This window comes from Homo sapiens, chromosome 15 (assembly GCF_000001405.40).
Source record: "Homo sapiens chromosome 15, GRCh38.p14 Primary Assembly".
Classification (NCBI taxonomy): domain Eukaryota; kingdom Metazoa; phylum Chordata; class Mammalia; order Primates; family Hominidae; genus Homo; species Homo sapiens.
The window spans coordinates 101,356,956-101,380,860 of record NC_000015.10 but is presented as its reverse complement, the minus strand read 5'-3'; the positions used below and the strand labels follow the sequence as shown (position 1 = coordinate 101,380,860).

The 23,905-nt window shown below is 50.5% G+C and overlaps 1 protein-coding gene across 6 annotated transcripts in view, besides 6 other annotated features; it reads left to right on the top strand.

Annotated features, from left to right (window-relative positions):
* The window catches only part of PCSK6 (proprotein convertase subtilisin/kexin type 6), a 185,775-nt gene that overhangs the window by 108,847 nt on the left and 53,023 nt on the right, over positions 1-23,905 (top strand). For 4 of the 6 annotated variants that reach the window (NM_001291309.2, NM_138319.4, NM_002570.5 and 1 more), the window contains 2 exons: positions 10,338-10,526; positions 14,529-14,665. In NM_001291309.2, coding sequence (NP_001278238.1) covers positions 10,338-10,526; positions 14,529-14,665 — 326 coding nt within the window. Of the gene's footprint in view, positions 1-10,337; positions 10,527-14,528; positions 14,666-15,816; positions 15,988-23,905 lie in introns of those variants that run through there. The other 2 variants (NM_138324.3, NM_138325.4) reach the window with 2 other exon arrangements.
* Positions 9,598-10,097: an enhancer, noted in NCBI's record as "H3K4me1 hESC enhancer chr15:101910969-101911468 (GRCh37/hg19 assembly coordinates)". NCBI's record gives its function as "activates a minimal SCP1, AML or CMV promoter by ChIP-STARR-seq in naive H9 embryonic stem cells {active_cell/tissue: H9 hESC(naive)}" and the evidence as "EXISTENCE:reporter gene assay evidence [ECO:0000049][PMID:30033119]".
* Positions 10,098-10,599: an enhancer, noted in NCBI's record as "H3K4me1 hESC enhancer chr15:101910467-101910968 (GRCh37/hg19 assembly coordinates)". NCBI's record gives its function as "activates a minimal SCP1, AML or CMV promoter by ChIP-STARR-seq in naive H9 embryonic stem cells {active_cell/tissue: H9 hESC(naive)}" and the evidence as "EXISTENCE:reporter gene assay evidence [ECO:0000049][PMID:30033119]".
* Positions 17,206-18,023: an enhancer, noted in NCBI's record as "H3K27ac-H3K4me1 hESC enhancer chr15:101903043-101903860 (GRCh37/hg19 assembly coordinates)". NCBI's record gives its function as "activates a minimal SCP1, AML or CMV promoter by ChIP-STARR-seq in primed H9 embryonic stem cells {active_cell/tissue: H9 hESC(primed)}" and the evidence as "EXISTENCE:reporter gene assay evidence [ECO:0000049][PMID:30033119]".
* Positions 19,870-20,813: an enhancer, noted in NCBI's record as "H3K4me1 hESC enhancer chr15:101900253-101901196 (GRCh37/hg19 assembly coordinates)". NCBI's record gives its function as "activates a minimal SCP1, AML or CMV promoter by ChIP-STARR-seq in primed H9 embryonic stem cells {active_cell/tissue: H9 hESC(primed)}" and the evidence as "EXISTENCE:reporter gene assay evidence [ECO:0000049][PMID:30033119]".
* Positions 20,814-21,757: an enhancer, noted in NCBI's record as "H3K4me1 hESC enhancer chr15:101899309-101900252 (GRCh37/hg19 assembly coordinates)". NCBI's record gives its function as "activates a minimal SCP1, AML or CMV promoter by ChIP-STARR-seq in primed H9 embryonic stem cells {active_cell/tissue: H9 hESC(primed)}" and the evidence as "EXISTENCE:reporter gene assay evidence [ECO:0000049][PMID:30033119]".
* Positions 22,702-23,645: an enhancer, noted in NCBI's record as "H3K27ac-H3K4me1 hESC enhancer chr15:101897421-101898364 (GRCh37/hg19 assembly coordinates)". NCBI's record gives its function as "activates a minimal SCP1, AML or CMV promoter by ChIP-STARR-seq in naive H9 embryonic stem cells {active_cell/tissue: H9 hESC(naive)}" and the evidence as "EXISTENCE:reporter gene assay evidence [ECO:0000049][PMID:30033119]".

The following is a 23,905-nucleotide window of genomic DNA, read 5'->3' as shown; positions in this document are numbered from 1 at the left end:
GTGATGACTGAAAGTGATATATTTCTTTATCAACAAATACAGGTCACTCTCTTTAGATGCTCTTCCTTGAATATGCCTCTACTCTTGTAATACACTCTTGCCACAAATAGTTGAGAAAAATGTGTCTGGTGGAGGGCTCGCATATGGTAGGAGTGCAGAGAGTGTGTGTTGGCTGAGCAGCTGGATGAATAGCCACAGAAGGATCTTTTGAAAAATCACCTTTTTCTCCCGTGGCTAATTGCACACTGACCGCTGAGTGGTCACTGCAGGCCCCGACAGGTCGGCCAGACACCTGACAAGCCTCAGTCTTGACTTCTTAAGGCGTCGGTTTCTCTGAGGAGCCTTAGACTGTCAAATTTGAAACAACGTGGGAGAGTCTCTGAGATAAAGGAGGTTTTGCCTTCTCTGTCTTTGCTGGAAAACGCCTGCAGCCTGGACCCTCAGAGGCTAGGTGAGGGAGGTGGGCTCCTGGGTCTGGTTCCTGACCTGGGGGCTGCCCTCTGCCCCGGCGCCTCCGCTCGTGTCCCCGTCAGGGCGGCTCCTGAATGAAGCATTCTTCTCCTGCCAGAAATCGTTTTAAGATGGCAGAGTGGTGCCTAGGTGGCGAGTGGTTGTTTTTATTTTTATTTTATTTTGTTTTTTAAGTGAAAGCACACGGAGTCTAGACAGCACAGGTTGAGGGAGCCCGCCGTCACATACAGTGTAACATTGTTCCTGTCCTTTGAGGAAAGTAAGGACCCTCCAAACTCCAAGAGGAGAAGAATCAGACTTCTGTTTCTGAAGAAAAGTCATCTTTACCTTTAGCAGTTTCAGACTCTTTCTGGGATATTCAGCCAGCCTACCGTCTCACACCACTTGCTTATCAGATCACTTGCTTAACTCTGTAACGTGGTTGTTGCAGAGGACATACGGGCCTCCAGAGAGAGGGGTGTTACCAAGCAGAGTTCCATGCCTCACGTCCACCTGTGGGTCTCCCCTCCTGGCAGGGAGCTCCAGCCAGCTCTGCCACTGAGCCTGCCTGCAGGTCGGGGTCATCTGCACCTGAGCCGCGAGTATCCCCACAGCTATGCGAGTTTTCCCCATCGGGGTTCCCAGCTGCTAGGATCACGTGGCCGAAAATGAAAAGGAAGCGTTCCCACACAGCCATTTTCCCGTCTTCTTCTAACTGCCCCCTCTCCGTGCACGTTTGTGGGTCCAGCTGTCTACTCTCTTGGCCTCATTCTGATTTCTTCCTCTCATGGTGGAATCCTAGGACTTCCTGAATGTCCTGAACCTGCCCTAAGCTGCTTCCCATGGTGAAGAGCAGAGCAAGAGGGAAGACAGAGTGTGTGTATGCCTCTTTATACACCCCTCTCGTGTGCATCCGTGTGCACTGCGTGGGATATGGTGACTGTCTTTTCTCTTGAACAGGAGAGGATGCTACCCTGGTGTGACCAAAGGTCAGACAGCTGTGTTCACTGGATGTTAAGCACGGGAGTCCTCTAGCTGGGGCATGTGTCCACACCTGTCAGGTCTATGGTGACGTCACACATGGTCCTGAGGGAGAGGGGCTGGGGTGTTCATACGTCCACCCCTCTGGTCACGGGCAGGGGCAGGAAACCTCTGTCTACCCCCAGCCGTGGGCTGGAATATGGCCATGGTTCAGGGAGACTGTCCTCATGGCGGTGACTGACAGGAAGAGTCAAATGGGCTACCCCTTCTGCATGTCCCTCCTGTGCACCCAGCCTGTGCTCCCAAACTAGCATTGCATCCAGGGCCCCGAATGACTGCACAGAGCTGGTGCCCCGTCACCCATGGTGTCCCCCTGCGGAGCTGCTGTCTCCAACGCTGCCCCAGTGGCTGGCATCACAGCCCCGCCTGCCCGAGTCATGCTCAGGCCCAAAGGCGCGGAAAGGCCACCAGCACAGCACAATGCGGGCTGCAGAGGAAGGAGCTGGGGCGGTGATGCCAGACCCACCAGACACAGTCCCCTTCAGGAGGCAGCTCCGTCATTTGAAAAAAGGCCATCCATGGTGTGAAAAGGACTAGCCAAGAGGGGACCCCAAGTGATACGTTGGCATTTCTCACCTGGACACTGCACATCTGGGGACTGGGGGGTTTGAGCCTGTCTGTGTATGGATCCACCCGAAAGATAAGAAGAAGTCCCTGGAAGGGTAGAGAACATCAGGGAAGAGGGGACCTCAGGTAGGGCTGGGCCTGGGTGAGAATCAAGGAGCCAGGCCCCCTGCTCCAAGGTACCACGGGATCGTGCTGGGCAGTCTCTTTACTGCCTGGTGTTTACCCTGCCCTAGAGCAGTCTGAGCCCCAGAACTGAGGTATTGATGTCTGAGCCACCTCTCCAGGAGCCCACACGGGGTAGGGCCCATCATAGGCTTTCAGGAAATGCTAAAGCTAAATGCAGAGGCGAGAGGAAATCACTTAAACTGAATGGCAGCTGCTGTTAGCAAAAGAGAGTGACTTGCTAGAGTCCTCCAGGATAGCACTGGATGAAAGTGCCAGCTGTGCCTGGGCCTCTGTTGTGATCGTCAGACCGTAGACCAGAGGCACGTCGACCTACTCCTGGGCACAAATGGTTTCCATCTGTTTAGAACCTTTGTCAATTAAACGAAGGTACATAGGATCATGACCAGGGGCATCTGCCTGTGCAAAATGATTTTAAAATCTGTGTGTATTAAATAGAAAGATAAAGTTGATATTTTTATATCTTTTCTTCAAATGAAAAAGAAAATTAAGCTTAGTATTATTCCAACGAATGAAATAGAGGCCCAGCTATTAAATATTCTATTTGACTCTTGATTTTTCTAGCCAGTGCTTCTGTCGCTGCTTTGAAAATCCAGGCTTCTGGGAAACAGTGTATGATATGCATGACTCCCACCTCAGTGCTGGGGACACTCACAACAACAGGGTCTTTTAAACCAACACAAAGCGATAACTTACCTGCACGTCTTTAGTTTCTGCTGGTTTGGAAGGTTACTGTCCAGACAGAGCTTACAGTTTAGCTTGGCCTGTCTTTTAATGAACTCTTCACACACCCACAACCCACACAAGACACTTCAGACCCAAAAGCCAATGTGTTGCTTTGACTATCAAGGCTTATCTGTAGAGCAGATAATCTTTTTATAGATGTTCAGGAATTAACTCTGGATTAGCCGCATATCACCTGCTTTTCTGGAATTTCGTGAAACTAGACTGCGTATGGCGGTCATTTTAAAACAACTCTATTTATGAAGACATATGGCTGTGGATGAGAGATAATGGATTGTGATTATAAAGGCACTTACTGTGTGCCAGGCATTGCTCTAAGCACTTTATATAAAAATCCCCAATAAACATGTGAGGTTGGAGTTCTATCTTTATCCTCATTTTATGGAGGAAGAAATGGAGGCAGAAAGGAGTTAGGAACTTAGGCCCAGAGGTGGGGTGCTGTGGGGCTGAGCTGCTCCCGCAGGCTGCTTGTCTCCAGAGTCCACCTTGCCCCCCTAGGTAGGAGCTCAGGCGGTACTGAGCCAATGAGAGCGACCTGCCCACCCGTTAGAAGACCTCACCTCTGTGACCTCTGTGCCAGGAGCTAGCTGGGCGCACCACCTCCAGGGATGATAAAGTACCTGACCCTGGCTGCCCAGAGCTTCCTCCGGCCTTGGCCAGGTGCCAGTGCCTAAGAGCACAGCTGCTGGCGTCTCATCTGCGGCAGGTCAGCTGGGCAAGCTGGTGAGGCCAGGAGCCCAGCGGCCTGGTGGAGTGCCGTGCGGATCAGACACAGGTCAACCCAGCTCTACTGTGCTCAAGCACACAGCCTGATGTGACGTCTTTTTAGGAAGCCAAGAGCCCTCGTTTTCTTTGGGCTGTCTCAGAACTATGCAGGTGTCTGCCACCCTCCCATCCCCTCCTCACCTTACCCAGCCTCTCCCTCCAGGGCATCTGACCTCTGTGTATACCTGGGTACCACAGGAGGCCCTTACTTCTGGTTTCTCCTCTTGGGCTGTTGTTATACAGAGCATGCCTGGGTGTCCTCAGAAGATCTGTGGGGTGCTGTGCAGTCCCGCCCTGGGGGTAACCACAGTGGACCCACAACACTTTTCCTGCCTGCTGCTACCCCTTGTAGCTGCGAGCAAACTTAACCAGCTGGTTATGTTCTTGCAACCCTTTCCCTTCCTGGCTTAGTTTTGAAGCAAACTTCTTTTCCCCAAATTGTAAAGGCTACTTATTTCTAAAATTAGGATTTGGAATTTGAATACAGTTGATTCTCCCTATTTGTGGTACTGTTCCACAAAGTCACCACGAACACTGAAGCGTTATTCCTAGGAGAGATACAGGGTTAAGTTCCTGTGAGCCTCCGGTCACATTTTTGCCAGCCTGTCCATATAGACCGAGCTTTATGTGTATGGGTTTAAAGACAGCTTATTTAACATAGATCATTGGTTCATTCACTTTAGACTCACAGCGGACAGCACTAGTGCTCGTTGCTGGAACCAAGCTTGTCTTACCCGTGTGTTTTCTCCTTAAGGCAGGTCTCTGCTTTCTCATGCTGTTTGACACTAGACAGTGTTTCAGCACTGCACTTGGGGCCATTTCAAACAGTGAATTCACCAACAGAAAAGCACAGAGCCAGGCATGGTGGTTTGCACCTACAGTCCTAGCTACTCGGGAGGCTGAGGTGGGAGGATCGCTTGAGCCCAGGAGGTCAAGGCTCCAGTGAGCTAGGATTGCACCACTGCACCCCAGCCTGGGTGACAGAGTGAGACCCTGTCTCTAAAAAACAAAAAACAGCACAAAAATGTGAAAAATGTGGCACTAAATACACTGTGAAACAGACACTTGTTTTTATTTGAGATGGAGTCTCACTCTGTTACCCAGGCTGGAGTGCAGTGGCGCGATCTCGGCTCACTGCAACCTCCACCTCCCAGGTTCAAGCAGTGGTCTTGCCTCAGCCTCCTGAGTAGTTGGGATGATAGGCACATGCCATCACACCTGGCTAATTTTGTATTTTTAGTAGAGACGGGCTTTCACCATGTTGGCCAGGCTGGTCTCGAACTCCTGACCTCAAGTGATTCACCCACCTCAGCCTCTCAAAGTGCTGGGATTGCAGCCGTGAGCCACCACACCTGGCCAGAAATGGACACTTATTTATGGCATGAGAGCTGCACCAACAGGCGGTGTTGCCTTGTTTGACCTCAGCTGGGAGTGTGCTCGTTGGGGGACTCATTATGTTACCACTCTGCACACATCTACACATGACACCAAAGTGCCGCAGGTGTTAGTTTGGGGGATACAAATAAATGTCAGCCACCAGGTGAATATGCAGATACAGCATATGTGAATAATGAGGATTGACTGTATATTTTATTTTCTCTTTTACTCCCCTTCAGGTTGAATTGTAGACTGTTAGAATTGGAAGGCATCTTTAAAGCCAGCTAATTCAGTCCCCTCATTTAACGTACAGGAAAAAGTGTGCTATAAATTTAAGCATGACATATTAAAGCACCTTCTGACCCAATTAACTGTGGACGGCATTGTGTAAGTTAATGTACTGGATTAGCTTTTTTTTTGAGGTTAAATTTTATTTCTCACCTAAGTGATGTGCTATGGTTTGATCATCAAAAGTAATTTTGGCCGGGCGCCGTGGCTCACGCCTGTAATCTCAACAGTTTGGGAGGCCGAGGCGGGCGGATCGCCTGAGGTCAGGAGTTTGAGACCAGCGTGGCCAACATGGGGAAACCCCATCTCTACTAAAAATACAAACATTGGCCGGGCATGGTGGCGCATGCCTGTAGTCCCAGCTACTCAGGAGTCTGAGGCGGGAGAATTGCTTGAACCCGGGAGGCAGAGGTTACCGTAAGCTGAGATAGCACCACTGCACTCCAGCCTGCGGACAGAGTGAGACTCCATCTCAAAAAAAAAAAAAAAGTAATTTCATGTGAGGAAAATTCTCAGTCTGAACTCATATGAATAAGGAAGCCCACAGATGAATGAAGCAGCTTACCTCAGAGCCTAACGACAGTCTTGTTGAGAGCGTGCATCCTGGAACACAGGTCTGAGAAGTGACCTAGAAGCCTCTTGCCACCTTCACACGGGCACTGTGTGCCCTCCGACCTGCTGTTTTCCTATTGCTTAATTTAGCAAGTCTGTCCCAATTAACTCTTGCCATTCCATTCACTCCCGTTAGCGGGTCTGTGAAAGGGTTTCCTGGATGACCTTCTGCTGTAATGGGCCTCAGTTCTTTAGCCTCTCCTCCCCAAGCCAGGTGCCAGCACAGCAGCTGGCAGGATGCTGCTGGCTCCTGATTCTGGAGGGTCTCTCAACATGGCCCTAGAACATTCATGGGCCCAGTGAGGAACAAAGCAAGTGCGTTGTGCAAGGATCCAGGTTGGTCCAGGAAGCCAACCTGGGGAGAGGGCTTCAAGGAGGGAGTGAGAAATACTGACATGGAGTAGCTTCCCAGGTAGAACAGGAAAAGTGGAGAGCTTGAGGCGGAGGGTTTCAGCCTGTGGCCCGTCTTCCTGCTTCCCCTGGCACTCGGTTACTTGAAAATATTTATTTTTGCTATTAGATAGTATTATGCATTGGAAAAAAAAATAGGAGGAGGCCAACATATCTGTGGTCTGGAGTTCCTAGGGAGTCAGCAGGGTGGCTACTGTTGGTGGGCCTTCGCCTCCTCAGGAGAAGGGAGCGGGTGGAGAGCATTTGGGATGAATGGAGAACATCTGAAGTACCAGAGTAATTAACGTTGAAATGTGGCTGCGTGGCACGTGGCATTTGCTGTCATTAGAGATCTTTTCCAAGTCTGGCCGTCTCCCTGGCTTCAACAACGCACGGTCTCCAGGCAGGTTTTGCGGGATCATTTAACTCCGTGGACTCCCTTAGCGTCCTCGGAAGATGGCTTTATGTACATAGACCACAGTTTCAGAAGTTAATAGCAGAAGACACTTTTCAGTTACTTTGGGGACTTTAAGATCTTTCTAAATCAGTTTTCATCATTAAAGTACAATGTAGGTGTATTCACGTGACAGTGATAATCTCTGCACATTGTTTAACTTGAAAGATAAATTACTTGGCAGTCGACTTGCATTTTCAGCGTTACCTTAGAAATAACTGTAGGGTGGAGAACCACTTCTGTTTTTTTCATTGACTGTTCTACTTTCTGTCTTGGAGTTAATTTTTTAAAGTGATGACTTTTGATAGATGGCTTCCTTATTTTCTTCCTGGAGTTTCTATCTGAAATACAGAAAAATTTGAGCACAATGATCATGAAACATTTTGAAGCCTCCTCTTTTATTTCTCTTCTTAATAAAAGCACTCTAATTGGGGATGTTAGGTTAATGGTTTCAATAGCAACCACAGAAGTAAAATGTGTGGGGAGCTAACTGCATGTCAGGAAGGTGGCAGCGTGCCCTCCTATAGTAGCTGTCCTGGGCTCCCGCGCTGCCCCAGAACTTACAGGAATGAGGAGTCCTGGTGGCCTGTAACTGAGTGATTTAGCAGTTAAGAGCTTTCACATAAAAACTAATTGTTACAGTTAGCCTTGTTCCAGGAGGCTGCTGGGCTCCTAGCCCCCAGGTGAAGGTAAGGGCATGGCTTTGAAAACCAAACGAAGTGAGGCCATTAACTCCTGCAGGAGCTGGGTGCTCCCGCCCCCAGCCAGCCTCCCTGCAGGCAGCAGCAGCGGGGCTGGCGGAGGATCACACCCAACCCAGCCTTCTTTATGCAGCGGCTGGAGTCCCTTAGCAGGAATAAAAAAGTCAGATGCAAGAGACTTTCATACTCTGAAATGATTTTTTTTTTCTAGGTGTTCGCTCTGTGGGTGGGGCTCAGAGTGGCGGGGCAGGTGAGAGGTGGGGCTTGGTTGTCTTTCACTTGTAATTACCCTGCTCCCGTTCTCTCATCCCTGTGCCTTATCAATGGGATTAAAGCTTCTTCACAAGGATTCCAGGTCTATTTCTAGAGCAGATTGATCACTTCCCCTACCGATGAGCAATTGGTTGGAGTGTGGGGACCGTGTCTTCAACTTGGTTAAGGCTTTTGTGTCTGTTTCCCCTTGATCTTGCTATTCAGCACTGGAAAGGTGTTGAAGTGTGAGAGTGTAGGGTTATTCCTGGTTTTTGGGGTTGACTGGGAGCTACATTTTGAAGCCCCAGGGGAGCACTGAGTAAGTCTGCCGGCATAGACGTTTCTCCGTCTCCACACCTTGCTTCTCCCTAACGTACCCACCTTACATTCTTAGTGTGGGGTGAAGGTGGGGGATGGGGGACACTCACCTGGAGAGACACATGGGCCCTGCAGGTCCTGGAACTCCCCAGAGCCTTCTCTTGTGTTCGCCATCTACCGCAGCGGGGGCTGCTGGCCAGTAAACACTAGCAGTAAAGCTTGGGAGAAGGCAATGAAGGAAGTCAGCATCTCTAGATCAATTTATGGTGCATGCAAAGCGTGTTTTCAAATACTTACAGAGTCTCCGAGGGAATTACATCACTGTTTATAACTGTTTTGATTGTTTTTTATGACTCAGGGCCCAGTAGAGCCAAGCAGTGTAACTCCTGAGAGGCTCTGAGCAGAACGCCTCATGCCTCCCGGGAGGAGAGTCCAGGCATAATGGGAAAAGCGCTCCCCGTAATAAGCCAAGCACCGGTCGTGTGGTGGGGAGTTATTAATGTGCTGCTGGGCGGCGGTGGGTCTGCACTGAAGAATGCCATGTTTCTTCAGCTGCAGATCACTGGGGTGGGTCGGGGGCTGAGTTCAAAGAGGCATGAACCCTAATGGCCTGGAATTGGCAGGATGGTCCAGCCTGGACACAGAAACAGCCTTGGGGTACAGATTTTGGATCTGCTTGGTCTGGGGAGTCTGCTTGGTCTGGGGAGTGTGTCAGAAAATTCTAGCAGGAAGGAGTCTTGAATGATTGAGGCTTTGTTTTTACCCTCAGACTCCATCCCATATGGTAAAGCTGCCCTGAGTTTGTAAAGGGAACCATCGTCCATTTCCATGACAGGGCAGGAAAGTGAGGGGACCCTGCTTTCTGCAGGAGATTTGGGAGCACACAAGCTTGGCACCCTCGATCAGCATGAGAGGGCAGCCTCCGAACTCCGAGCTGTGTCCTTGACTGTGGGTCCACGCGAGCTTCCATTCGAGGCAGCGAGGCCTGGAGGCGGAGGCAGTGAGGCCTGGAGGCAGAGGCGTGGGCTCTGGGGCCCCAAATCCCAGCTCCTCCCCGCATTAGCTACACCTTGGGTACAGTCCTTAATTTCCCTCTGGATTAAATGGGTTAATCCTTGGAAATTCTCAGGCCAGTGCCTTATGCTCAGTGCACAGTCAGCTTGGGAAATGTTTGCTGATTGCTGTTATTTAGCATTGTGACTTCTATTTTCAATGCTAGTCTTCGGAACAAAGTAGTGGGATTTTTTATTTGTTTGTTTGTTAAAACATTTAATTATTTTTATATATTTAGGGGGTCCAAGGACAGGTTTCTTACATGCACATATTGCAGTGTGGTGAGGTCTGGCCTTTTAGTGTACCTGTCACCATGGAGGTCATACTAGGGCAACTGAGAAACGAGCTGGCCAAATGCCACCGAGGAGAAGCCGCCTTCTGGTCACCAAAGGGAGCCCATCCCTGGGGACATTCACCCAAGTCTGCCCAAGAACCCATCTTTTATTTTATTTTATTTTTGAGTTGGAGCCTTGCTCTGTCTCCCAGGCTGGAGTGCAGTGGTGCGACCTCGGCTCGCTGCAACCTCCACCTCCTGGGTTCAAGAGATTCTCCTGCCTCAGGCTCCCGAGTAGCTGGGATTACAGACACCCGCCACCATGCCCAGCTAATTTTTGTATTTTTAGTAGACAGGGTTTCACCGTATTGGCCAGGCTGGTCTCAAACTCCTGACCTTGTGATCTGCCCTCCCCCTCCCCCCACTTTGTATAAGACAAAATAATTGACTCAGCAGCAATGCAAGGCAGACAGGGCCATCGTCCAGAGGAATGGGGCCTGTGCTGTGCACCCCACAGCACTGCCCAGCAGCCTGGTCTCTCCACTGTAGGCAAGTTGGAGCGGTGGCAGCAGGCGGTGCCTCGGCCTCCCAAAGAGCTGGGATCAGAGGCGTGAGCCACAGTGCCCAGCCGAACCATCTTTCAAATCTCTGTAAGCAAATTCCAGAGGCATAAACGTCTTCAGGACAGGTGATAAAGTTCACAGTGGAGCATCCACGTGAGGCAGTCAGAGGCTGCTGCGGCTCCCCGGGGCCCGCAGGGCCCTGAGGCTGCAGTGGGGATAGAGTGGACGGGCGCTGGAGCTCCTGGCTGTGTGGGTGAGACTTCATGCTTCCGGTGCCAAGTGCTGAGCCCTCCCTTCTCCCCCAGGAGCATCCCCTTAGTGCAGGTGCTGCGGACTACGGCCCTGACCAGCGCCTGCGCGGAGCACTCGGACCAGCGGGTGGTCTACTTGGAGCACGTGGTGGTTCGCACCTCCATCTCACACCCACGCCGAGGAGACCTCCAGATCTACCTGGTTTCTCCCTCGGGAACCAAGTCTCAACTTCTGGCAAAGAGGTAAGGCGAGGCAGGCGTGGGGATGGGGTCTGGGCTCACTGAGATTGACCCTGCACAAGAGCTTCTGTCCAGTCTTGGGCCCACAGTGTCTCTGCAAGGCCCTCTGGCGTTGGGGACTCCCACTGGTTCTGCTGGCAGCTTCCTTTCTCTTGGAGACCCTTGCATGTAGGCCCCAAAAACCTTAAAAGTTGCTCCCTGAAACCTTGCCTTCCAAAAGGTCCTGGAAAACTTTCCTTTTCAGAGAGAAGTGACAAAAGAGTTGTTGTTTCGTTTTTTGTTGTTTAGCGGAGGGATTTGTGGAATTCTGGCTATGCCTTCTTTGCTTAGAAGTGCATTAAAGGTCATTTAATCCTATTCAGTTGGCTTTTGAATCGAGCATGTGTACCACAGGGAGCACTGTTTGTCCCCCCACCAGCTCTCCCACCCAGTCGTGGGCTGCCCTGCAGAACCTGCACCAGCAGGGGCCTGTCCCGGGAATACAGACAGGCTCGGGTGGTATGTGGGGAAGGTGCTCCCAGGCTGCTCTCTGCCAACTTCTCTTGCGCTCAGGGGCTGGGAATTCCAAAGCTTCGCACATGGTTTTTTGGGAGGCTATGGAGTCATTTCTTTAACAAACTTAGAAACAAGGGGAAATACATTGATGCAAATATATGACTTACAGGTAATTAGAATGAAGGTGTTTATGGGAACTTAAGAGGGGCCAGGGTATTCTGGTACCTTCTGTCTCTTTCTAGCTAAGAGGTAGAGAGAGTAAAGAAATTTCATGGACAAATCAGCATTTCCAGCTTCTCTCAAAAACCAGGACTGGCACTGTGCCCACATCATCTGCAGGAAGCCCCCCAGGACCAGGCCTGCTCTGTCTTCTGGGGTGTGGTCCCCTTGCCCACTCTGGGCCCACTTGACTCCTTTGGTGACCTGCCTGAGGCTGTGGCCCTTGTGTAGGCTATAGGGAGCTGCAGAGATTCAGAAACAGGGGCTAGCGAAGGCTCTCAGATGGAACCAGGCAGAAGTTGGGGGTTGCCCTTTGCTTAACCCTTCCCCTCCCCACCACTTTGTATGAGACAGGGTAATTGACTCAGCAGCAATGCAAGGTAGACAGGGCCATTGTCCAGAGGATTGGGGCCTGTGCTGTGCCCCCCACAGCACTGCCCAGCAGCCTGGTCTCTCTGCAGCAGGCAAGCTGGAGCGGTGGCAGCAGGTGGCGGGCCCGGCACCAGCTTTGTCCTCGGTGCACTGGAATCAACCCTGAGGCAGACCCTGGCACCAAGCTCAGCCCATCCCACATTCTCCTTTCATAGCACGAGTGTCACAGGGGCACCTCTCCCTCCTGCCGGGAGGCCCGGCCGTGCTGTGCCTCTGCCTGTGGGAGGTCTCACACGGGCACGAGCAGTTCGGTGTCAGCGGACGAGCTGCAGCTTTTGATGCTATGTTGCTCCCCGTGGTGTTTTTTATTTTATTTTTTTAACCTTAAAGATTTTAAAAGTCCTCATTTCTGGCATTTCTTGGAAAGTTGGAAGCTGTCTGACACCAGCCCCGTGTTCCTGCGTGCACTGGGCCGGAGCTGAGCAGGTGGGCGAGTGTGTGTCCATGTGCTCCATGTTTTCCGTGCTGGCAGCCCTGAGGCCAGCAACGGGCTCTCCGTTCACTCCAGCCGCACACCTAGTGGCACCCAGGTTTGTGACCCCTGACTCAGAGCCAGAGCTGGGTGCAGGCCCAGGTGATGGCCCAGGTTGACGGAGAGCCTGTGGTGAGGCTGAGAGGCTGGGGCAGCAGGTAGCAGGCAGGCGGGTGGCAGTGACCCTGGAGAGTTGGCCCACACCCTGCTCTTCCACTCCTGGCTGGGCTCCCAGGAGCCAGTCCCTTTGCCTCTCTTTATTCCTCATCTCTGAAAATGCCACTTCACTTATCTGTAAACATTAGGACTGTTATAAGACTTGAGTGTGATAATATATGTATCCCTGGCACAGGGGCCTGGTTGCCCTACGTGTCCTGCTTACGTCCGGCTACCTGACCCACAAGAACCTTCCGCTGCCCCAGCCTCCCCTCTCCCGCTCCCCTGGGGCCCTGTTTCCCTTCCCTGGAAACTTTCCTCCTCCTGCTGCTGCCCAGTGTTGTGCCCTTGGGATAATAGAGGGCAGGTCCTGCCAGGCCTATTGGGAGCCACCCCTTGGCTGGGTAGTGCTGTCCTTGCGCCATCAGGCATTTTAAAAACTACCCTAGCCCAGGAAGGGTGGCTCACACCTGTAGTCCCAGCACTTTGAGGGGCCAAGGTGGGTGGATCACCTGAGGTCAGGAGTTCGAGACCAACCTGGCCAACTCTTGTCTCTACTAAAAATACAAAAATTAGCTGGGCGTGGTGGCACGCACCTGTGATCCCAGCTACTTGGGAGGCTGAGGCAAGAGAATCACTTGAACCCAGGAGGCGGAGGTTGCAGTGAGCTGAGGTCACGCCTCTGCACTCCAGCCTGGGTGACAGAAAGAGAGTCTGTCTCAAAAACAAAAAACAAACAAACAAAAACTACCCTGAGGCTACTCCAGCTGTCATCTGAGTCTTGGGACTTTGGTTTTTTTCCAAGGCAGATTTTGTGATTGTATCAAGAATTTGTGTTTTAGGATCAATGACCTCCTATCCTACTGCACATCTTACTTAATTTAGCAGCTTTATCAGTTTGCCAGGTTCTTCACTAAGAAGCCATTGATGTGCCTCAGCACCTCAGCCCTTAAAAGACAGTTTGTCCTTGTTCTGTCCCCAGTGTGTTGGGTTCAGCTTGGCATCGAGTGTGAAAATCAGCCTTGACCTTTGCCATTTCTTAGAAGAAAGCACAGGATGCTTCCCCCTCACTCTTCTCCATTGCAAAGAATGTTCCCTAGATAAACATTTTCCTACATTGAGTGTTCAGAGAACCCCCAGATTGGAAATTGAATCTTACATCATTCAAAACTTATGTATTTCAATTTCTGATGAACAATAAAGATGCCTATGTTAAAAAAAATGTTTATTCCAAAATCGAGATAGAAAATTAGACTGTGAAGAAAGAATAAGAGGAAAAAACCTGGAATTGATTCCAGTACAGAAAGAGTCACTTCTGAGGATGGCACTGGGTGCAGGAAGAGATTGGATGTTGATTAGTTGCTTCCTGTTTCTGCCTGAACCAAGTGTGAGGCAGAAGGCCCAGGGGCTCAAGGGTACAGTTGGGAAAGACCTTCGAGTTGGGAAGGGTAAAGGGAGGCTCATCAGGACTTGCAAGGAGGGTACTGCTGGGGGTGGGGGAGCTGTCTCCTCCCCCCGCTCTCCACGGGCCCCTCCCATTCCCACTGAAAAGCAACCAACCCTGCCATTGTCATCTCCCTCAAATGCCCCTGTTGAGACTGGATCAGCCCTGCAGGTGAAGGGACAGAACTTTCCCCACAAGCTTGAGTAGCTGCTCCTCTTTCCTTATTTGTGTCTCCCAGAGAACAGTGCACACAGCTGGCTTGAAATCAAACATGGAAGTTTCATTCTTGCACAAACAAGCACTTTCAAAAGGCGTCCTTAGTGAGCACTCTCTGGGCTTCGGTGAAGGTACCCCAGGGGGACCCCCGCCCCTGTCTGCTTTCGTGCATCCGGGCACTGGAGTTATGGTCTCTGTAAGATTGTTGCTGGGTGGGAAGGAGCCAGCCACCTTCTGCAGGAAATTGTCGGGACTGGGGGCTTCTGTTGGTGAGAGCTTGTAAACATCTTTCACTGGGTTATATGAAACCTGCCTGCCTGCCTGCCTTCCTCTCAGAATGTTAAGGAGGTTCAAGGAGGTGATGGAGGAGAGAGTCTGTGTAAGAGCTTAAAGACGATCACATTTCACTGTGCCCTTTGCCCTCGGGTTGGCTGGGGCCAGACCCCCGCTACCCTGGGGGTACGGTCCAGCCAGGTCATACAGTCCCCCGAGAGCCCTGCTTGTGCCAGCCCCTCCGCCCAGCCACTCAGTACCAGCACCTTCATTTCTGACACCACACCTCCAATTGCAGGTTGCTGGATCTTTCCAATGAAGGGTTTACAAACTGGGAATTCATGACTGTCCACTGCTGGGGAGAAAAGGCTGAAGGGCAGTGGACCTTGGAAATCCAAGATCTGCCATCCCAGGTCCGCAACCCGGAGAAGCAAGGTCAGTGGCTCTTGGGAATCTCATGACAGCTTTTGTATCTCAAGCCTCTTTTTACCTCTGGGCCTTATTTAACTACGGAGTCTCTGATAATTCTTTGTTTTGTGTTTTAGAGGTAGAATTCCCATAACAGAAAATTCACCATTTTAATTATTTTTAAGTGGACAGTTCAGTGGCTTTTAGTACATCCACGATGTCATGTAAACGTCAGCACTATCTAATTCCAGAATGTTTTCATCCCCACAAAAAGAAACCCCATACCCATGAAGCAGCCACTCCCCATTCCCTCCTCCCCTCCCAGCTCCTGGCAACCTCTAATCCACTTACCATTTCTTTGGATTTGCCTCTCCTGGACATTTCATATAGATGAAATAATACAACACCTGGCCTTTTGTGTCTGGCTTCTTTCACTTAGCATGATGTTTTCAAAGTTTTTCAATATTGTCGTATGCATCAAAACGTCATTACTCGTATGGCTAAACGATATTCCATTGTACGGATTGATCACATTTTGTTTATTCATTCACCTGTGATGGACATTTGGGTTGTTTCTACCTTTTAGCTGTTACAAATAGTACAGCTATGAGGATTCATGTACAAGTTTTTATGTGGACCTATGTTTTTGTTTCTCGTGGGCGTATACCTAAGATTGGAATTGTCAGGTCATATGGTAACTCTATGTTGAACGTTTTGAGGAACAGCCAAACTGTCTTCCACATTGGCTGCACCCTTTTACATTCCGGCCAGCAATATATGAGAGGTCCAGCTCCTTCACATTCTCGTTAACACTTAATATTCTCTGCTTTTTAAAAAATTATAAGCGTTCTAGTAGGTGTGAAGTGGTATCTGTGGTTCTTCAATTGCCTGATGATGCACCTTGATGCACAAAAGTTTTAAATTATGATGAAATTCAATTTATTTTTTCTTCTGTTGCTTGTGCTCTTGGTGTCATACCTGAGAAACCATTGCCTAACCCAAAGTCACAGAGATTTACTCCTGTGTTTCCTTTTAAGAGTGTTATAGCTCTTACATGTAGGACTTTGATCCATTTTGAATTATTTTTGTATATGGTGTGAGGTAGGGGTCCAAACTCATTCTTTTGTACCCATTTGTTCCAGCACCACTTGCTGAAAAATGCATTCTTTACCCATTAGGTGATCTTGAGACTCCTGTTGCAAATCAACTGACCACAGAAGAGAGGTTCGTTTCCACACTCTCGATTCTGTTCCATTGGTCTGTATATCTATCTTGGAGTCAGTACCATATTGTTTTGATCACTGTAGCTTTGTAGTAAGTTTTGAAATAAGAAAGTGCGAGTCCTCCAACTTGGTGGTTCTTTCTCAAGATTGTTTTGGCTATTTTGGGTCCCGTGTAATTCCATGTGAATTTGAAGATAAGCTTGTACATTTCTTTTTTAAAAGGTAGTTGGAATTCTGGTAGAGATTGGATATGTAGATCATTTTGGGGAATATTTCCACATTAACAATATTAAGTCTTCCAGTCCATAAACTTGGGATAGTTTTCTGTTTATTTAGCTCTTCTTTAATTTTGTTTAGCAGTGTTTTTTGTAGTGTTGAGTATATAAGTCTTTCGCCTCCTTGGTGAAAGTTGTTCCTAAGTATTTTATTATTTTTATGCTATTGCAAATGGAATGGTTTTCTTAATTTTTCTTTTGGATTGTTTATTTCTCTGGTAATTCTTGTACCTTTTTAATCCCTTTTACTTAATGATCAATCATTTATTTAACTAGTCTTTATTAAGTACCAAACTCTGATCTAGGTAATGGGGTTACAACCAGGAAAGAAAACTGGAATAATCAGCACATCTTATTTTGTAGTTACCCACAAAGGTCTATAAACGCCTGTCTTTGTTCTCTGGGTCGAATGCATAGTAACGTTTACAGAATGTGCTGGGATCTTGCTTTTCTATGGGCGAGTTTCCTCAAGGTTTGCTTTCACTGTTCCGTCGTTCCCTGTGCCCTTTTCTGTGAAGATGCAGTCTGCTTCTTGGTCACCCTGGGAGTGCGTGAGAACCTTCCCCTGCCCTGGTTCTTTTCCAGTTCTCCATAAACAATCCAAAAGCAAAATTAAAAAAACCATTCCATTTGGAATAGCACAGTTTTAGGAGAAAAGAAGAGTGTTGACTTGCCTTACGTGGAAAATTGACTTTAAGTCATCAAGTCATCTACAGGGATCTGGGACCTCCCCCAGTTGTATTCTTTCTGGTTTTAAAATAGTAAATAACTATTTTAAGAAAGCGTTGGCTGGGCGCGGTGGCTCATGCCTGTAATCCCAGCACTTTGGGAGGCCGAGGCGGGTGGATCACGAAGTCAGGAGATCGAGACCATCCTGGCTAACACGGTGAAACCCCATCTCTACTAAAAATCCAAAAAAAAAAAAAAATTAGCCAGGCAAGGTGGCAGGCACCTGTAGTCCCAGCTCTTAGGGAGGCTGAGGCAGGAGAATGGCTTGAACCCGGGAGGCGGAGCTTACAGTGAGCCGAGATCGCACCACTGCACTCCAGCCTGGGTGACAGAGCGAGACTCCGTCTCAAAAAAAAAAAAAGTGTTATAACAAATCCTAAAAGTACAAAAATGTAAAATTTTAAATGACCTGAAATTTACACATTTTAATAGTGGAAGCTCCTAAATTCTTTCTTTTAAAAGCCCCAAAGTGTATTGGCCGAGTATTAAAAGTCAAGGTTTACTCCTCATGCCAGCTGCATCCTCAAGCATTCACTGCTTCGTGGGCACAAGGCAGAGTTCTCATGCCAGCCTGCATGGCCTGCTTGCCTGGGAGGCTGGTGCTGTATGCAGGAGAGCACATGGAGGCTGGGGCTACTGCTCTTGTGTCCTCATGGCATAGCCCTGGAAACCGGGCACACCATTCAACACTCTAGACCTGTGATCTTTACTCTGTATCATGAGCCGAATACAACGAGCCCTACCCATGTCCCAGGGCAGCTTTGAGGGGACAGTCAATCCCCCATGGAACTGTGCCTCTGCAGGCAGCCTTTCTCATGCATCTCACGCATTCTTCTCTTTCCCCTTCCTATTAGGCCAACATGCGTGCACTGATGCCTCTCCCCTGAGTCCACATCCCCTCCAGCCACCACCCACTTCTCTGCTCCCCTTTATGGCAAAGCCGGCAGAACAAGCTGCCTGCCATGGCCATCACTGGCTCACTCCCAGCCCACTCCCATCCACTGCACAAAATACCGGGGCTCGTCAGGGTCCCCCACCGTTTCCACATTGCCCAAGCCTATGGTCCCATCTCTGTCCTCCCCAGGTTGTTAAAGCCAGGGTCTATGGTTCTAACAAACTAAGCACCCTCTCTGGGGACCACAGGGTGCAGTGGTTAAGACTGGGGGCTCAGGAGCCCTTCTACCTGGGGGTAGATGCTGGCTCTAACTCTTACAAATACCTGTGACCTTGGCAAGTCACTTAGCTTTTCTAGGCCTTGGTCTTCTTATCTAGAAAATGGGGATAGTACGCAAGTTACTGGGTTGCGGTGGGATGAAATCAGGTAAGACAGGCTGGATACCGAGAGCAGGGCCCGGCACACAGCGACGTTGGCAGCTCACCCCCTCTAGAAGTGCCCTCTTGCACAGCTGCAGTGATGCCACACCTGGGGGCCCTCTCCACCTCACAGGCTGCCCCTTGTGCATCTCGTTGGCTGATCCTCTCGCACATACCCCTGCACGCACTCCTGGGTCCTCTGCTCTTTGTTCCCATCCAGGGATCTCATCCAGCCCCGTGACACTGAGCACCTTGTACCTGCTGGTGGTGCCCAAAGCTGCCTCTCCCTGCCCTCTTGCACCCAGACCTGCTCTGCAGCAGCCTCCTGCTTCTGGGCATGGGTCTAACTGGCTCTGAGCTTGTGCACCTTAGACAAACTCCCAAACTGCCTCTTTCTTGCTTTCCACATTAATGTAAATAGCTTTGGGCTGGGCATGGTGGCTCATGCCTGTAATTCCAGCACTTTGGGAGGCCGAGGCGGGTGAATCACAAGGTCAGGAGATCGAGACCATCCTGGCCAACATGGTGAAACCCCATCTCTACTAACAATACAAAAAGTTAACCAGGCATGGTGGCGGGCACCTGTAGTCCCAGCTACTTGGGAGGCTGAGGGAAGAGAATGGTGTGAACCTGGGAGGTGGAGCTTGCAGTGAGCTGAGATTGCGCCACTGCACTCCAGCCTGGATGATAGAGCAAGACTCCAACTCAAAAAAAAAAAAAAAAAAGCTTCACCTTGCACTCCATTGCTTGGCCAAATCCCAGGAGTGAACCTTTAATTCTTCTTTGTCTCCTTCACCATCTGCTTCCAGAATATATCTCAGTCTGCCCACTGCCTCAGTTCAGTCCCCTATAGTGTCTTACCTCCTCATTCCACTGGCCCCCCTGCCTCAACCCCTACTGGCTAGAGCCACTCTCCACCCAGCATCCAATGATCCTTTTAAAATATAATTCAGAAAATGATGCACCCCTGCTAACTTTAATGACCTCCCACAGCTCTTAGAGCAAAACCCAAATCTCTTAGCCTGACCTGCACATCCTGCTAGCACCTCTCCACCGTGAATCATTTCCTGCGCCTCATCATTGACCTCCGTTCTGTTCCCCTAACATGCCTGGTCTTACCTCCATGGGGCCTTGGCACGTGCTGCTCCCTCCTTGGGGACAGCTGTCCCTAGGGCTTCCCATGGCTGCAGCTCAGACCTGGCCTCATGGAGGGGTCTTATCTGAATGCCTGTGGTGGATGTCCTACCCACTCTCCCACCTTACACTCCTACAGAAACATAAAGGCAGGGGATGAGAATGGGGAGGAATAAAAATTTGCTGAGATTCTGATTCCACATTTAGTGGGAGGGGTGATGGATTATGTCTTACTCTTAGCACTGATAGAGACATATAAACTCAAATATCTTCCTATAATAGAGAGATAATCAAGATTTAAAACAGGATGCCAACCTTCCAGATCACTAGAGGGAAATAAGAGTGAAGAGAAATTGATCAATATGCCAAAAAAAAAAAAAAAAGAGAGAGAAAGAACTATAGGCAAATTTGAATAGGGATACGGAAGTCTTAAATAAAACATTAGGAAGTGGAATTCATCAGTTTATTCAAAGAATACTCCCCTCCAAGAACACAGCCTTCACTCAACAGATACTTATTGAGCATTTACCAAGTTCTAAGCACTGGGGATGCACTGGTGAACAAAACAGATGCTAAGCTTACATTCTGGAAGGCAGAGGAGGCCGTGAAACAAGATTACCAGGCAGGAAGCTGTTGTCCATTAGATGATGAGAAGCTCTAAGGAGAAAAATGAAGCAGGGCAGGGTGACAAGGGCATTTCAGGGTGTACCGGGAAGGCCTCAGGGAAGGGACATTTGAGTAAAGCTCAAAGAAGATGAGGGGGTGAGCTCTGCAGACATCTGGGAAAAGGGCATTCCAAGCAAAGCGTTCAGGGGATGCTGAGGCCCCCGGGCAGGAGTGTGCCTGGTGTGTTCCAGGGGATGCTAAGGCCCCCGGGCAGGAGTGTGCCTGGTGTGTTCCAGGGGATGCTAAGGCCCCTGGGCAGGAGTGTGCCTGGTGTGTTCCAGGGGATGCTAAGGCCCCCGGGCAGGAGTGTGCCTGGTGTGTTCCAGGGGATGCTAAGGCCCCCGGGCAGGAGTGTGTCTGGTGTGTTCCAGGGGATGCTAAGGCCCCCGGGCAGGAGTGTGTCTGGTGTGTTCCAGGCACAGCAGAGAGGCCCCCGAGGCTGCAGGGGGCAGTGGGAAGAGGAGCAGAATAGGACAGGACCAGGCATTGAGAGCATAGGGACCAGATCGCACTGGGCTTTGTCAGCCCTCACAGGGACTTGGTTGGAAGTCACTGAGAGATTTTAGGCAGAGGACAGAGGTGATCTGAACTTCTGTGTTAATAGGCTGACAGCTGGTCAGAATAGACGGAAGTGAGGGTGGGAGAGGAACAAAGGCGGGGAAGCCAGTTAGAAGGTCATTGCAATATCAGGTGAAGGTGACTCCGACGGGGCAGCATCAGTGGAGTGTATGAAGCAGTCAGATTCTGAAAGCAGGGTCGAGAGATGTGTAGATGGATCAGATGTGGGCTGTGAGAGGAGAGAGGGGGCATGGATGACTTCAGAGTTTTTGTCCTGCACAGTAGAAGAATGGAGTCCTAGTTTCCTAGATCTGGAACATTGCAGGGGGGGAAGATGCTGGAGAGAAGATCAGGAGCTTGGATTTGGGTGGGTTAAATCAAAGATACTTACACAAGTCCAGGCAGAGATATGTACCTGGAGGTGAGAGGGAAGACTGAGCTAGAAATCCAAATTCGGATTAGGTATATTAAGTATCGTCAGCCTTTCAAGCTGTATGAGCAATGGAAGGAGATCTGTTTATATAACAGTGATTCACACGTTTGGAGCCTGTTGCGTGTGGGTGCTGAGCGAGCTTTAGGCTTGCAGTGGTGCACAGCACGGAACCGCATGCCCTGCACACCTGTGCACCTGCCACACTGCTTCCTGCCCAGCCAGATGCTGCCATATCAGCTCCCTGCTTGCTGCCTGCATGGCACTCAGCAGCTCTGGCCTTGGCCTTAGCACTGATGGGCTTGCCATCTGCAGCCTTCCTTCCTTCCGGTCCTGCTGTGCCCTGAGAGCCTCCTGCTGCATGGTGTATGATAGGTGCCCAATAGGTGTTGGCGGATTAATTAGTCCAGTTGGAACCCTCTGTAACCACCACATGACCAGATGCTCTGTGTGCTACAGAGGACACAGGATTAGTGGATACAAGAAATACTTCCTGAGGGTAGCCCCAAATGAAGTCTTGACACAGGTCGATCTCCACCCCTCAGCGTGGGTAGAAACTGGATCTTTGCTTTCAGAAGGTTGAGACGGGTGCAGAATAAACACCTTGTGGTACCTTCCAGCTCTGACCTTCTAGGGCCTACTGGAATTTGGGGGGCGGGGACACATTCTCCAGTGTCATCACAGAGAGTATGCACATTCCTGCAAGGGCGTCTGGAGTCAGTTCATTCCATGCAAGCTTTACCCTGTAGACAACTGCCACTCCTGAATGTGGTCCAGAAACAGCAAGTACAGGCATGCGTCCTGCCACAGCTGACGCACGGCAAGCCCTCCCTGCTGTGTGTGGGGAGGACGGGCGCCTTCCTGTCACCCACAGGCTCTGTGCATCCTCCCCAAGCACAGTGAGAGCTAGCCTGGGAGCCTGGGTCCCACCAGCATCTCTCCACAGTGGAAATCCATGTGGCCCTCACATGGGACACTGCAGTTGCAACTGAGTCTCCCCAACCTGCCCTGCTCACTTCATTCCAGGGCCAGCCTCTGAGCTTGTTGTTCAGCATGGCGGCTGGATCCTCCCAGGGTGAGGGAAGGGAGTGATGGAGTGAAGCCAAAAGGGGTCAGAGGGGCTCAAACAAAGGCCAAGCGGCCCTTTCCAGGTTGGCGTATGGGCCCAGTGCTTTTGAGGTTGATCCAGGATAAGCCCTCTTCAGCCTCCAGATGAATGGTACCTCTTCCGGCTGTTCCTGAAATGTCAAAATGGGAGGTCTGCGTATCCTAACAGACATGTCTCCGATGCATTTTGCAGAGGTCCTGCCATGTGCCAGATGCTATGCCAGTGCTCGGGCACAGAGAGGCTCCAAGACACAGTTCCTGCCCCTGAGGAGCCCACAGGCTAGTTGGGAACATTTCGGATTTCAGGAACCAATAGTACCATGCACAAGGGCCCAAGGGCCACCAGTGACCCAGAGGAGTGCCCCAAGTTCAGTGGAGCAAACAGGGATTTCCGGCTGAAAGAAACAAGGAAGGGCTTGTGAGGAAGGGTCTGCCTAAGGCCAGATTCTCAGGAGTTCCCCAGTGTCACTTTGTTTTTTTTTATCTTAGTAGCATAGAAAATACAGGCCATTAGGAGATGGCGACTGCCCCAAGGGTACGGCTGTCCTTTTGTAGAATGAAGTGCCAGGCATTGCCCACATATGACCTGCCTTACTCCGCCTACCCCCAGGGGTGAGACTTCTCAGGGCTGGCCTTGCTCCCCAGGCCCTGGGAGGGACCACAGAGGGGCTCAGCAGTGACGAGCCAGGCTTCCCCACCCGATCCACTGGGCAAGCGACGGGGATGTCAGGCCGAGACAGTCCTCAGCGATGACCTGCCCTAACTCCCCTCCTTCCAGGGGCAGGTCTGGGCCCTTCCATGAGTGCAGAGCAGAGGTGGGAGCTTCCTGGCCAGGCCGACATAAGGAAAGGGCCTGCTGCCTCTGGGAGGATGCTCTGGTGCCCACAGAAGGCGTCAGTGTGGATGGGGGCCTGCAGTGGACGGGCATTGAGGTGTGGAGGAGAGTCTGAGAAGATCTCTATCAACCACCAGAGAGCCAGGAAGCACCCCCTAGGAGGAAGGGTGAAAATCCGTGTCTACCCAGAGCTCACCAAGGCACTGGTTATGCTGTGCCCAAAGACCCGGGACCCAACGTAGGCATTGTTCGCAATAAGACCTACCCCCAGAGCATGCCTGTGAGGCCACGCCAGGTGGGCAGGACGGCCGCTGGCCGAGGCTTCTCATCAGTGCATGGGTGGAGAGGGAAGCCCAGCCTGCCTGCACGCTATGACGCTATTGTGTACACAGGGAGGCAGGACCAGCCCCAGCACTGAATGTTCAGGTCAAGCTGATAGTGCCTGTTGGGGACCTCAGCCTGGGAAGGTGACAGAGAAGACCTAGGTTGCCCTCTAGCTCCAGGATTCAGAGCTCTAGAGGCCGGGAAAATGCAGGGCTGGTCAGCCAGGAAAATGCAGGTCTGGTCAGCATCGTCAGCATCGAGTCAGCTGCCTGTCAGCCTCGTCGATGCCGAGGTATGAACTGATCTCAAATGGGCAGGATCTTCCACTCCCTGGTTGTCTGGTGAGGGTGGCCTGTGAGTGCACAGTCACCACCAGCCTCAGTGCCAGGCACAGTGCAGCACACACACACGCGTAGACCAGAAAAGCAGGCAGTCCTCACTTCTCTACAGGCATTCCAAGAACCTGTGCTTGGGGCAGGGTGCTTCGTTTCTGTGGTGTTCATTTCAATCTCCTGCAAATCTCTGCAAGTTAATTGCTTTAAAAGAAAATGAAAAGAAAAAAACTGCTCCAATGGTGTTCTGTGTAAAAGTGCTTTAAAATCTATGCTAAGACCCAGGATTTATGAAGTAATTAAGTGATCTGACTGATGCGCTAGCTCCAATAATACCTCC